At 38.5% G+C, this 14,839-nt stretch overlaps 1 protein-coding gene across 5 annotated transcripts in view; it reads left to right on the forward strand.

Moving 5' to 3' along the window:
- CDYL (chromodomain Y like) overlaps positions 1-14,839 on the forward strand; it is a 249,407-nt gene that overhangs the window by 128,627 nt on the left and 105,941 nt on the right. Inside the window, exon 1 of one of the 5 annotated variants that reach the window (NM_001143970.2) lies at positions 1,334-1,544. The exons of the other annotated variants lie outside the window; for them this stretch is intronic. The gene's annotated coding sequence lies outside the window, so the exon portion shown is untranslated. Of the gene's footprint in view, positions 1-1,333; positions 1,545-14,839 lie in introns of those variants that run through there. 5 annotated transcript variants of the gene reach the window in all.

The following is a 14,839-nucleotide window of genomic DNA, read 5'->3' on the forward strand; positions in this document are numbered from 1 at the left end:
GTTCATTTCTTTTTATTTTTTTTTCTCTAAACTTCCTTTCTCGCTTCATTTCATTCATTTCATCTTCCATCGCTGATACCCTTTCTTCCAGTTGATCACATCGGCTCCTGAGGCTTCTGTATTCTTCACGTAGTTCTCGAGCCTTGGCTTTCAGCTCCATCAGCCCCTTTAAGCACTTCTCTGTATTGGTTATTCTAGTTATACATTCGTCTAAATTTTTTTTGAAGTTTTTAACTTCTTTGCCTTTGGTTTGAATTTCCTCCTGTAGCTCGTAGTTTGATCGTCTGAAGCCTTCTTTTCTCAACTCGTCAAAGTCATTCTCCGTCCAGCTTTGTTCCATTGCTGGTGAGGAACTGCGATCCTTTGGAGGAGGAGAGGTGCTCTGCTTTTTAGAGTTTCCAGTTTTTGTGCTCTGTTTTTTCCCCATCTTTGTGGTTTTATCTACTTTTGGACTTTGATGATGGTGATATACAGATGGGTTTTTGGTGTGGATGTCCTTTCTGTTTGTTAGTTTTCTTTCTAACAGACAGGACCCTCAGCTGCAGGTCTGTTGGAGTTTGCTAGAGGTCCACTCCAGACCCTGTTTGCCTGGGTATCAGCAGTGGTGTCTGCAGAACAGTGGTTTATCATGAACCACGAATGCTGCTGTCTGATCGTTCCCCTGGAAGTTTTGTCTCAGAGGAGTACCCGGCCATGTGAGATGTCAGTCCGCCCCTACTGGGGAGTGCCTCCCAGTTAGGCTGCTCAGGGGTCAGGGGTCAGGGACCCACTTGAGGAGGCAGTCTGCCAGTTCTCAGATCTCCAGCTGCGTGCTGGGAGAACCACTGCTCTCTTCAAAGCTGTCAGACAGGGACATTTAAGTCTGCAGAGCTTACTGCTGTCTTTTTGTTTGTCTGTGCCCTGCCCCCAGAGGTGGAGCCTACAGAGGCAGGCAGGCAATCCTCCTTGAGCTGTGGTGGGCTCCACCCAGTTGGAGCTTCCAGGCTGCTTTGTTTACCTAAGCAAGCCTGGGCACTGGCCGGCGTCCCTCTCCCAGCCTCGTTGCCGCCTTGCAGTTTGATCTCAGACTGCTGTGCTAGCAGTCAGCGAGACTCCGTGGGCGCAGGACCCTCCGAGCCAGGTGCGGGATATAATCTCCTGGTGCGCCATTTTTTAAGCCCGTCAGAAAAGCGCAGTATTCGGGTGGGAGTGACCCAATTTTCCAGGTGCCGTCTGTCACCCCTTTCTTTGACTAGGAAAGGGAACTCCCTGACCCCTTGCACTTCCTGAGTGAGGCAATGCCTCGCCCTGCTTCGGCTTGCGCACGGTGCGCTGCACCCACTGACCTGTGCCCACTGTCTGGCACTCCCTAGTGAGATGAACCTGGTACCTCAGATGGAAATGCTGAAATCACCTGTCTTCTGCGTCGCTCACGCTGGGAGCTGTAGACCGGAGCTGTTCCTATTCGGCCATCTTGGCTCCTCCCCAAGGCTTAGGTTTCTAAGTCAGCCACAAATGCTACCCAAAACTACATAAAGAAGAAAAAAGTTGCATAGAACCAAAAAGTGAGTTTTAATTATTTATTTTATACGTGTGCTTTCAGAATTCCAACCCCCTAGAGGAGTTGGGATTTTAAACCAGTGTGATACATTTTCTGTTTGCTTCAGTTTACTTTTTATTTTTTTCCTTTCCCTTATGGGTTCTGGGAATTGAGACTTCGGCTTTCCTTCCTGTGATACCACTTGCCACTGTGTGTCCATTCGAGAGCATGGCTCTCACCAGCCTCTCCCCTCTCCTGTTTTTGCAGTCAGTACTTTGTCCTTCTAAAGTCCTTTAAAAGATTGCTCATTAGAATATTTTTAAAATCTGTTAGCAATAGATAATTACAGCCTTATTTCTATGCTGACCACCATGCAGCAAGGAAAAATGTGCAAAGGAAAAGAGGCAGAAAAGAACTGTTTATATTGAATTTAGGGGCTGTTTCAGGCCTTGGTATGCTGGTCTCTAGTGTGGCTGAAGGAAAAAATGCTGGGACTGAGTGCGAGGAAGGGCAGTGAGTACATTTCTGATTCTGGCACCTTGATGGAGATGGTCCTATCACTTGTAGACCTTGCGCCTGGTTACAGAATTGGGGATACAGAAGTTTGATGGAACAAAATGGAATTATGTGAGTGCCCTGGAATGGAGTGATGGGTGTGGGTGCAGGTATGTGTGTCTGCTCCCACCTCTGCTGGGTGGAAGTCTCTCTCATGAGAGTGAGGGCAGCAGTGGTGTTCACCTGTATATCCCCAGTACCTCGTACAGTGCCTTATACATAGCAGACACTCTCTTGCTGAATAAATGAGGATCCAGATAAGATAGGTCAATCATTGTTAAAGGCATAGACCTGAGTCAGTGGGTATTACATGTTCAGGGATATGAATTGGCAATTTGTTTTATTTTACTAATTTGCTTCTGTGTACATTCCTCACAGTGTTACAACTTGAGTGACAATATAATTTATCATTCAAATGGAGGCACATGAAAGCAAAAGGAGGACTGAAAATTGTTATACAATCTTTTGGAATTTTTTTTGACCAATACATTTGTTGTAGTGATAGACATAAAGTAGTTTTATTAAAAAAATTTTCAAAAAATTATGAAGTAAACGTCAGTGCGTTACAATAAAGGGATCACCTGTACATTACAAAAATTAGTAAATACTCTTTTTTTTGTTGTCGTTGTTTTTTTTTTTTTTTGGAGACAGAGTCTTGCTCTGTCGCCCAGGCTGGAGTGCAGTGGCACGATCTTGGCTCAGTGCAACCTCCACCTCCCGGGTTCAAGCGATTCTCCTGCCTCAGCCTCATGAGTTTCTGGGATTACAGGCGAGTGTTACCATGCCTGGCTAATTTTTGTATTTTTAGTAGAGACGAGGTTTCATCATGTTGGTCAGGCTGCTCTCGAACTCCTGACCTCGTGATCCACCCACCTCAGCCTCCCAAAGTGCTGGGCTTACAGGCACATGAGCCACCGCGCCCGGCCTCTTATTTTTTCTTTTCCCGTTGGTTTAAGACAGAGTCTTGCTCTGTCGCCCAGGCTGGAGTGCAGTGGCATGCACATGGCTCACTGCAGCCTCTGCCTCCCAGGCTCAAGTGATCCCAATACCTCATCCTCTCCAGTATCTAGGACTACAGGCGTGCACCAACAAACCCAGCTAATTTTTTTTTTTTTTTTAAATAGAGATGGGGTTTTGCCATGTTACCCAGGCTCATCTCGAACTCCTGGGCTCAAGCAATCCGCTTTCCTCATCCTTCAAAAGTGCTGAGATTACACTTGTGAGCTATCACACCAGGCTGTAAATATTCTTGATACATTTTTATCATGTATCTATTGTAATGCCTTGTGACTCTTTAAAAGTTTTTCGGTATGTCTTTTTATTTTTTTATTTTAATAGGTCTTTTGGGAACAGGTGGTGTTTGGTTACATGAATAAGTTCCTTAGTGGTGATTTCTGAGATTTTGGTGCACCCATCACCCGAGCAGTGTACACTGTACTCAATGTGTCGTCTTTTATCCCTCACCCCCCTCCCACCCTTTCCCCCAAGCCTCAAAGTCCATTGTATCATTATGCCTTTGCATCTTCATAGCTTAGCTCCCAGTTATGAGTGAGAACTTAGGATGTTTGGTTTTCCATTCCTGAGTTACTTCATTTAGAATAATGATCTCCAGTTCCATCCAGGTTGCTGCAAATGCCATTATTTCATTTCTTTTTATGGTTGAGAGTATTCTATGGTATATATACACCACAGTTTCTTTATATACTTGTTGACTGATAAGTATTTGGCTGGTTCCATGTTTTTGCAATTGCAAATATAAACGTGTGTGCAAGTGTCTTTTTCATATAATGACTTCTTTTCCTCTGGGAAGATACCCAGTAGTGGGATTGCTGGATCAGATGGTAGTTTTAGTTCCTTTTTTTTTTTGAGACAGAGTCTCCCTCTGTCACCCAGGCTGGGGTGCAGTGGTGCCATCTCAGCTCAATGCAGCCTCCACCTCCCGGGTTCAAGCGATTCTCCTGCCTCAGCCTCGTGAGTTTCTGGGATTACAGGTGAGTGTTACCACACCTGGCTAATTTTTGTATTTTTAGTAGAGACGGGGTTTCACCATGTTGGCCAGGCTGGTCTTGAACTCCTGACCTCATGATCCTCCCGCCTCGGCCTTGGGATTACAGGCGTGAGCCACCACTCCCGGCCTTACTTTTAGTTCTTTAAGGAATCCTCACACTATTTTCCATAGCAGCTGTACTAGTTCACATTCCTGCCAGCAGTGTGTTTCCTTTTTTTACCACATCCACACCAACTTCTATTATTTTTTGATTTTTCGATTATGACCATCTTGCAGGAGTGAGGTGGTATCGCATTGTGGTTTTGATTTGTATTTCCCTGATCATTAGTGATGTTGAGCATTTTTTCATGTTTGTTGGCCATTTGTATATCTTCTTTTGAGAATTGTCTGTTCATGTCCTTAGTCCCACTTTTTGATGTGATTGTTTTTTTCTTGCTGATTTGTCTGAGTCATTTGTAGATTCTGGATGTTAGTTATTTGTCAGATGTATAGATTGCAAAGATTTTCTCCCACTCTGTGGGTTGTCTGTTTACTCTGCTGATTGTTTATTTTGCTTTACAGAAGCTTTTTAGTTGAATTAAGTCCCATCTATTTATCTTTGTTTTTGTTGCATTTGCTTTTGGGTTCTTGGTCATGAAGTCTTTGTGTAAGCCATTGTCTCAAAGGGTTTTTCTGATGTTATCTTCTAGAATTTTTATGGTTTCAGTCTTAGATTTAAGTGTTTGATCCATCTTGAGTTGATTTTTGTTTAAGATGAGAGATGAGGATCCAGTTTCATTCTCCTACATGTGGCTTGCCAATTATCCCAGCACCATTTGTTAAATAAGGTGTCCTTTCCCCACTTTATCTTTTTGTTTGCTTTGTTGAAGATCAGTTGGCTGTAAGTATTTGACTTTATTTTTGGGTTCTTTATTCTGTTCCATTGGTCTATGTGCTTATTTTTATACCAGTACCATGCTGTTTTGGTGACTATGGCCTGGTAGTATAGTTTGAAGTTGGGTAATGTGATTCCTCCAGATTTGTTCTTTTTGCTTAGTCTTGCTTTGGTTATGTGGGCAGTTTTTTGGTTCCATATGAATTTTAGGATTTTTTTTCTAGTTCTGTGAAGAATGATGGTGGTGTTTTGATGGGAATTGCATTGAATTTGTAGATTGTTTTTGACAGTATGGCCATTTTCACAATATTGATTCTACCTCTCCATGGGCATGGGATGTGTTTCCATTTGATTGTGTCATCTATGATTTCTTTCAGCAGTGTTTTGTAGTTTTTCTTGTAGAGGTCTTTCACCTCCTTAGATCCACTCCTAAGCATTTTTTTTTCAACTATTTTTAAAGGGGTTGAGTTCTTGATTTGAGTCTCACCTTGGTTGTTGTTGGTGTATAGCAGAGCTACTGATTTGTGTACATTAGCTTTGTATCCTGGAACTTTGCTGAATTTATCAGTTCTAGGAGCTTTTTGGAAGAATCTTTAGGAGTTTCTTGGTATATGATCATGTCATCAGCAAACGGTGACGGTTTGACTTCCTCTTTACTGATTTGGATGGCCTTTCTTTCTTTCTTTTGTTTGATTGCTCTGGCTATGACTTGCAGTATGTTGAATAGAAATGGTGAGAGTGGGCATCCTCGTCTTGTTCCAGTTCTCAGGGGAATGCTTTCAACTTTTCACCATTCAGTGTTATGTTGGCTTTGGGTATGTCATAGATGGCTTTTATTAAAGTTATGTCCCTTCTATGCTGATTTTGCTGAGGGTTTTAATCGTAAAGGGGTGCTGGATTTTGTCAAATGCTTTTTCTGCTCTATTGAGATGATCATGTGATTTTTATATTTTTAATTGTGTTTATGTGATGACAACATTGACTTGCGTATTTTAAACCATCCCTGCATCCTGATATGAAACCCACTTGATCATGGTGGGTTATCTTTTTGAAGTGTTGTTGGATTCAGTTTGCTAGTATTTTGTTAAGGATTTTTGCATCTATATTCATCAGCGATTTTTTTGTTTTGTTATGTTTTTGTTTGTTTTTTGTTTTGTTTTTTTGTTACATCCTTTCCTGGTTTTGGTATTAGAGTGACACTGGCTTCATAGAATGATTTAGGAAGGATTCCCTCTTTATCTTGTGGAATAGTGTCAATAGGATTGGTACCAATTTTTCCTTAAATGTCTGATAAAATTCAGCTGTGAATCCATCAGGTCCTGGACTTTTTTTTGTTGGCAACTTTTAAATTACCATTTCAGTGTCACTGTTTGTTATTGGTCTGTTCAGAGTTTCTGTTTCTTCCTGGTTTAGTCTAGGCGGGTTGTATATTTCCAGGAATGTGTCCATTTCCTCTAGGTTTTTTAGTTTATGTGCATAAAGGTGTTCGTAGTTGGCTTGAATAAACTTTTGTATTTCTGTGGTATCAGTTGTGGTATCTCCTGTGTGAATTCTAGTTGAGAGTTTTGGATCTTCTCCTTGTCTTGGTTAATCTCACTAATTTTATTTATCTTTTGAAAGAACCAGCTTTTTGTTTCATTTACCTTTTGTATTTATTTTTTGTTGGAATTTCATTTAGTTCTGTTTTGATCTTTGTTATTTCTTCTGCTGGGTTTGGGTTTGGTTTGTTCTTGTTTTTATGATTCCTTGAGATGTGACCTTAGATTGTCTATTTGTTCTCTTTCAGACTTTTCAGTGTTAGGCGTTTAAGCATATGAACTTTCCACTTAGCATTGCCTTTGCTGTATCCCAGAAGTTTTGCTAGGTTGTGTCACTATTATCGTTCAGTTCAAAGAATTTTAAAATTTCCGTCTTGATTTCATTGTTGCCTGAGTGATCATTCAGGAGCAGGTTATTTAATTTTTATGTTTTTGCCTGGTTTTGAGGGTTCCTTTTTGGAGTTGATTTCCAATTTTATTCCACTGTGGTCTGAAAGAGTACCTGACATAGTTTAGATTTTCTTAAATTTACTGAACCTTGTTTTGTGGCCTATCATATGGGCTATCTTGGAGAATGTTCCATGTGCTGATTAATAGAATGTATATTCTGCAGTTGTTGGATAAAATGTTCTATAAATATCTGTTAAATCCTTTTGTTATAAGTTATAGTTTAAGTCCATTGTTTCTTTGTTGACTTTATATTAATATTATATTAATATTAATAATAAATTATTAATATAAATAAATTAATTATATTTGTATTATTTGTAATATATAATTTATATATATTATATTAATATTCATATTTATTTATATATAATTATATATTATTTATATCATATATTTATATTATTTATATATAAACTTGTTAATATAAAATTATATTACTTATATATTATAAATATATTATATTATATAATAAATTATTAATATAAATAATATAAATAATAATATATAATTATATATAAATAATACTAATATTAATATAAATAAAAATAAATATTAATATAAATATCTGTTAAGTCCTTTTGTTATAAGTTACAGTCCATTGTTTCTTCGTTGACTTTCTGTCTTGATGACCTGTCTAGTGCTGTCAGCAGAGTATTAAAGTCCCCCACTATATATTATTATTGTGTTGCTATCTCATTTCTTAGGTCTAGTAGTAATTGTTTTATATGTTTAGGAGCTGTGGTGTTAGGTGCGTATATATTTAGGATTGTGATATTTTTCTGTTGGACTAGTCCTTTTATCATTATATAATGCCCCTCTTTGTCTTCTTTATCTACTGTTGCTTTAACATTTGTTTTTTCTGATATAAGAATAGCTACTCCTGCTTGCTTTTTGTGTCCTCTTGCACGGAATGTCTGTTTCACCCGTTTACCTTAAGTTTATGTGAGTACTTATGTGTTAGGTGAGCCTCTTCACAACAGATACTAGGTGAATTCTTATCCATTCTGCCATTCTGTTCTCTTTCCAGTGGAGGTATTTCAGTTACTATTGAGATGCTAGGTATTATTCTATTCATTGTGCTATGAATACACAACATGGGAACGAATATGAAAACCCTTGTGGGTTTTTTTTTCCATTATGTTATTGCTATATAGTTCCTGTGAGATTTATGCTTTAAGGAGGTTCTATTTTGGTGTATGTCAAGGATTTGTTTCAAGATTTATATCTCCTTTTAGCAGTTTTTGTTTCAAGATTTATATCTCCTTTTAGCAGTTATTGTAGCGCTGGCTTGGTATTGGCAGATTCTCTCAGTATTTGTCTTAAAAAGACGGTATCTTTTCATCATTTATGAAGTTTAGTTTTGCTGGATATAAAATTCTTGGCTTATAATTGTTTTGTTTAAGGAGGCTAAGGATAGCCCTCCCCACCCCAACCCCTAGTCCCTTCTAGCTTGTAGGGTTTCTGCTGAGAAATCTGCTGTTAATCTGTTAGGTTTTCCTTTATAGGTTACCTGGTGCTTTTGCCTCACAGCTCTTAAGATTCTTTTCCTTCATCTTAACTTTAGATAACCTGATGACAGCGTGCCTAAGTGATGATCTTTTTGCAATAAATTTCCCAGGTGTTCTTTGAGCTTCTCGTATTTGGATGTCTAGATCTCTGTCTAGCAAGGCCGGGGAAGTTTTCCTCAATTATTCCCTCAATATGTTTTTCAAACTTTTAGATTTCTCTTCTTCCTCAGTAACACCATTTATTCTTAGGATTGGCCATTTAACATAATCCCCAACTTCTCAGAGGCTTTTTCTTTTTTTTTTTTTTTAATTCTTTTTTTGTCTTTGTTGGATTGGGTTAATTCGAAAGCCTTGTCTTTAAGCTCTGAAGTTCTTTATTCTACTTGTTTGATTCTGTTGCTTAGACTTCTGAGAGTATTTTGCATTTCTCTAAGTGTGTTTTTCATTTCCATAAGTCGTGATTATTTTTTATTTATGCTATTTATTTCACTGAAGATTTTCTCCTTCCTATCTTGTATCATTTTTATGGTTTTATTAAGTTGGACTTTACCATTCTCTGGTGCCTCCTTGATTAGCTTAATAATCGACCTGCTGAATTCTTTTTGTGGCAATTCAGAGATTTCTTCTTGTTTTGAATCCATTGCTGTTGAGGTAGTGTGATCTTTTGGTGTTGTTAAAGAACCTTGTTTTGTTGTATGACCCAGAATTGCTTTTCTGGTTCTTTCTCATTTGGGTATACTATGTCAGAGGGAAGATCTGGGGCCCAAAGGCTGCTATTCAGATTCTTTTGTCCCATGGGGTGCTCCCTTGATGTGATACTCTCTCCCTTCCCCTGGGGATGTGGCTTTCTGAGAGCCAAACCGTGGTGATTGTTTTTTCTCTTCCGGATCTAGTCACCCTGCAGAGATACCGGGCTCTGGGCTGGTACTCGGGAGTGTCTGCACAGAGTCCTGTGATGTGAACCATCTTCAGGTCTCTCAACTGTAGATACCAGCACCTGAGCGTGCTTAATTGTGGTTTGGTTTTGTTCATTGTTACTAGTTTTGTGTTGGTTGGCCTCCAGCCAGTAGGTGGCGCTGTCAAGAGAGCATCAGCTGTGGTAGTATAGGGAGGATCAGGTGGTGTGGGGGCCCTAGAGCTCCCGGGAGATTATGTCCTTTGTCTTTGGAGTTTTTCAGCTGTCCCCTGGGGCCTGCAGCAGCAATCTGCTTCCTTCAGAGGGTTTGTGGATTCTCTTGGCTTTCCTGGTACGTTCCTGCCGTAGTTCTTGGAGCAAAAGTTAAGGAGGTGAGTCCCCACACGCTGCTCTGTCCGTCCGAGTGGGAGCTGCAAATTAGTCCTGCCTTTCTGTCTGCCATTTTCCTTGTGACTCTGAAGAATATTTTTCCCCCAACATGGGTTTGTTTCTGAGATTCTCATAAAAGTACATACTTCTTAAAAGTTGCATTTTCAGTTAGTACATTTGAGATTGTTGACATTTGGATTTTATTCTTCTGTAAGCCATCATTTTATTATTGAAAAAGTTTATTTGTGCTGAGGTAAGGTAGCTTATGAGTTCAGAGCAACTAGTGCTAAAGGAAGGCTATTTTGTTGTTTTTTTAATGAGATGTGAAGTATTATAGCTCAAATATTTTCATAAGAACTGTCTAAACCTCTATTTAGAATACCTATATTCAACAAATAATTTTGCAAGACAAAAAAGTTGTCAAATAAATTGCCTTTTTCATTCTTTTGAATCTTTTGCTAAATTTAGATGCTGTAAAATGTTGTTTTTATCCAATCAAAAATAGAAGGGCCATGAAATTATTCTTTCTACAATTTGAGATACTCCAAAGTGCACTTACTGAATTTCAAAATTATTGTACATTGCTCTATATATTCCATTTTTGTCTGTCACTTGATATTTTTAGAGGTTAATTTCACTGCATGCTTACTTGCAAACTTTGATTTCAACAATTGCAGTTTGCCAAAAGGTTCAAAAGCTGACTTTTCAAAAGACAGTTGTTTGTTGAAAGTTTTGATCAAAATTTCCAGCTGATTTTGAACAAAAGGTAACCCAATCTTAGAGGTCTCACCAAAACAAAACAAAACAAAAGGTTCCAAGTCATTTTGCGATGCCTGGATTGGTTTTCAAAGTAGTTTTTTGAAGGCTAAATGAGTTGAGTGCCAAAGAGAATGGGTACTGCCATGATGAAGTATTCTTAACTTTAGTTTAATTTGTTCTTCGTTATTGTGTATATGAAAACCTGTATTTGTATTAAAATCAGAATAACAAATAGTGTTCCTCATTGAGCTTTTACGATATTATTAACAGTAGTGTTTAACCTTTTAAGGCAGGATTCAGCAAACCTTTTCTGTAAGGGGTCAGACAATAAATATTTTACGCTTTCTTGGCCACAGCTATCTATTGCAACTCAACTTCTGCCTTGGTAGCCTTAAAGTAGCTATAGACAGTATGCAAACAAATGAGTGTGGCTATATACCAATACAACTTTATTTATGGAGACTGAAATATGAATTTTGTATACTTTTCATATATCACAAAGCATCAACTTTTGATCTTTTTCCAACCGCTGAAAACGTAAAAACCATTCTTACTTTGCAGGCCATGCCGAAACAGGTGGCAGGGTGGATTTGGCCCGCAGACCAATTTGTTGACCCTTGTTCCACGAGTTGAATGAAAAAAATAGAACTACTAACGGAACTGATCTCCTATTTGAAAACTGGCACAATCTAATTGCCTGTAAAGTTCTTCCAAGCTAAAGGAGCCAATATTTAACTGCTATTATGTATGTGTTTAATGTTCAGGAGAACATTTAGGGGAAAAATTGGCTTAATTATGTTAGAACAGTCATTTGATCTAAATGAACAGTCATACTTTAGAAAGAAATGTGAATACTACAATTTTATAAATGCAAATTCTGCGATTGCACCTAAGAATTAGTTGTCTTTGGGTACTGCCTTCTTAAAAAAAAAAAAAAAAGGTGGATATGGCTATTTTTTCAGATGTTGTCTGGTTTTCATGTGCCCACTGATAGCACCCCAACCCCACAGGGTGCACGGCAAATGTGGAGACATGTGCAAATTACTATTTACTATTAACTTTCTTGAGAAACGGAAATGTAGTACTTATTAAATCTGCATTTTTATTTTTTAGTTCATTGCTCCTAGAATGGCTTGTAAAATACAAACAATCAAAACAATAAAATAGTTGTGGATTTACACTATACATGACAAAATCATTATAATACAAGCTGTCAGACTAATATTCTATGTAATTGCTTCCCATGTGATGCCAGCATGCTTTCTTCCGTCAGAGTGCTGGAGAGGGAGCTGTTAGTTATCTTGGACCTGGAAAGGGCCCAGAAAATAGGTGATTTATTCCTGGTTGACTTTCAGAGTTAACAACACATTGAAGTGTGAACTCTGTTCGCTGTATGTGTGTCTTGCATGCTACTAGATGAGATGGTGACAGAAGCAAGACATAGAAAAAATAGGTTATTTATTAAACTCAAACTGGCTTATTTTAATGCAATAGTGAATCATAATATTTAATTAAAAATGAAAAATACAAAGACAAAACCAGATTGGACATTGAGACAGCAGTTGTAAGCCAAGACTGTTTTAGGCAAACCAAGACATATGGTTGTCCTATTTAAATCCATAAAATTAAACTTTTCTGTAATTTGGATAGTTCTACTCTTTCCTTTTCCCATTTTGGTCAGCAAAGTAGCCCCCTATTAGGTTTCTGCAGTAGTCTCAGATCCACTTAGATCTGTGATCCCCCCATTCTTATTCTGCACACTACGTTTACACAGCCCTGCTGTGTGAACTAATGAGACCCAGTTACAGTCATGTCTATCTGCTGCTTAAAACCCAGCATGGACCACCCAGGAATGCCACCAGTGGCCCTCTAACTATTGCGTGCACCAAAATCATCAGTGTGTGAGGGTAGTTGCAAATTTCTGGTTCCCTCCTAGAGATTGGTATTCAGTAAGTCTTGGGAAAGCCCTGGTGCATCAAAGTTGAGTCTCTGTGCATCTCATTACTTTGTCACTTGCCGCCCCCATCCGTCCCTGTCTCATGGTCCACCCAGCTGTTGTAGGTCCCCAGTGTCCTGTTTAGTGGACCTGTCTGTCTTTTTCCCCACATTCTTTCAGCAGCTAAGGAGCTGCTGTTGTACATCTTTCTGTTGAAATTAAATTTATTGCTCTTTGATTCCATTTTTCTCTAGCTGAGCATCTTGTGTGATAGCAGGGTCTAGGTCTCAGATCATCTGTATTCTTAACCTGATGCCTGAAACTTGTAGTTACTGTTGAGTGATGGTATAAGATTCAAGTTAACAGTCTTTCCATTGTTTCTCTTGTCATGAACTGAAGGTTCAGTGAATTAAAGTAGGATTTGTGTAGTCACTTCATTGTATGTATCAAGTTCTGCCTTTAAAACTTCAGTTTTCTCCAGGATCAATCAGTGTGGTAATTTCAAATTTCATACTTTAAAAATTGAGCTTTAGAACGGGCAAAAATGCCTCCTAAACATTTACAACTTCTGCTGTCTTTTGAATTAAAATAAAAACTGTGTCTCCCTACAGCCAAGGTAGGGCTCAACAAACGAAAGCTGAAAGGTGCTGGAAGCCTCCTGCACTTTGGGAATATACAGTCAGGAACAATTGTCAGGAGTTCTGTAGTTGATTCTGTAGGTTGGGATTGCCATAAGGTTGGTTAGAAAAAAGATGTGCGAAAGCTTTCCTGAGGGTTTTTGCCCTTGCTTTCACATGTCCCATAATTGAAATTAAGAACTGCTGGCAACTGGTTAGTGACCAGTGTTGAAATGGGAAAATATTACTGGCTTATGCTTTTGCTTATAGATATTGAAATTTAATAAAATTTAACCATAGTTACATATGATTCTATGAAATTAGGTAGGCTCTTCAAGAAAAATGTGAGCAATGTAAGGCAGGGTATTTTTGGGAGGGGGGTGCTTTATTGTATAGGCAAGCTCTCGAACAGTGTCTGATAATTAGTAGTGTCTGACAATATTTGCTGAATGAGTGAACTCATGGTAACATAACTCCAGTATGGCAGATTGATTCTTGGTGCTTTTTTTCCAGTGGCAAACTTTTATAGAAATTGGAGAGTTTCGTAAAGACTTTTAAAAAGTTGTCAGAATTACCTATTATGTCCTTTCCTAGATAATCAATTTGGAAACAATTGCTGGTACCTTAAGCCCGATGTATGCCTCCTATTATAGTGTTGAAAATGTTCTTTTGACAAATGCATCAATGACCAGGCACATGAGAACAGTGCACAGCTGTAGAAAAACAACAATGAAGGTCTTCGACACAGGAGAGAGTCTGCACTGCATCACAGCTGATCCGAAAGTTAAATTCAATGAAAAGGCAAATATTTTGGTCAGGAGAGGAATTCTTCCTAGGGAGTATTAGCACAGTGTATTTTTAGTTGTGTGGCTATTTATAGCTGCCCAATGGCTTGCGTCTGAGTCTTTATTTGGTTTTTAGGACATGCTAAGGATTGAGGGTCGTGGGCCTTAATTGTATAGAAGACGCAGTTGCGTTTGGTTGCCTGGAGGCTTCTCTGTGAAGCCTGGTGGGACACCTGCTGGCCAGTTTGGCCCTTCTTAGTGAAGGTGATAGAGACAAGGGCAGAAGGTCATTGTATTTATAGGATATTTGAAGCTTATCTTGTTTACTTTGTTAATAATACTTGAGTCATTTTTCTAAACATTCTTTGCATAACAGCAAAGATTAAAAAGATAAGTAATGTAATATATTAGGCCCTAGTTGTCATTCACCTGTTCTTGTAGAGCTGATACTTTTTTCTTGATCAAATTTTAGGTTTAATCATATTTAGCTTAGAAGAGTGGTCTGTCTTAAGAGTATTCTGATTATTTAGGAACATCTAGATGAAACTTCTTTGCCTTAGTCCATCGTTTCTCCTTTAAATTCCTAAAGGCAGGAATGAGTGTTTCTTAAAACCAACATGTATAAAGCAACATTTTAGGCAAACTGGGATGAGGAAAAACATCTTGAAGGGGGCTTCATAATGGTGTTGGAGCCTGTTAAAAATGTGGAATGGAAAGCCGATCATGAAAACAGATAGTACTGACTTTTGGCAAAATGAGTCTTTATGAAAACATACCTTAATGATTATCTGACAAATGCAAGTGCTTTTTGAGGTTAACAGAATTATAAACAGGAGACTGCAGACACTAAGGTCACTACTGAGCAGCACGATAATTCGTGTGGTGTGTTCTTTTTAAAGATTAACAATCTTAAGTCTTTTGTATGTTATGTTGCTAAGTTATTTGGGGGAAAGTGTTAAAATAAGTGCTCTTACTTTCTTTCTCCACTGCTTTTGCACAAAAACT

Source organism: Homo sapiens, chromosome 6, assembly GCF_000001405.40.
Source record: "Homo sapiens chromosome 6, GRCh38.p14 Primary Assembly".
Lineage (NCBI taxonomy): Eukaryota > Metazoa > Chordata > Mammalia > Primates > Hominidae > Homo > Homo sapiens.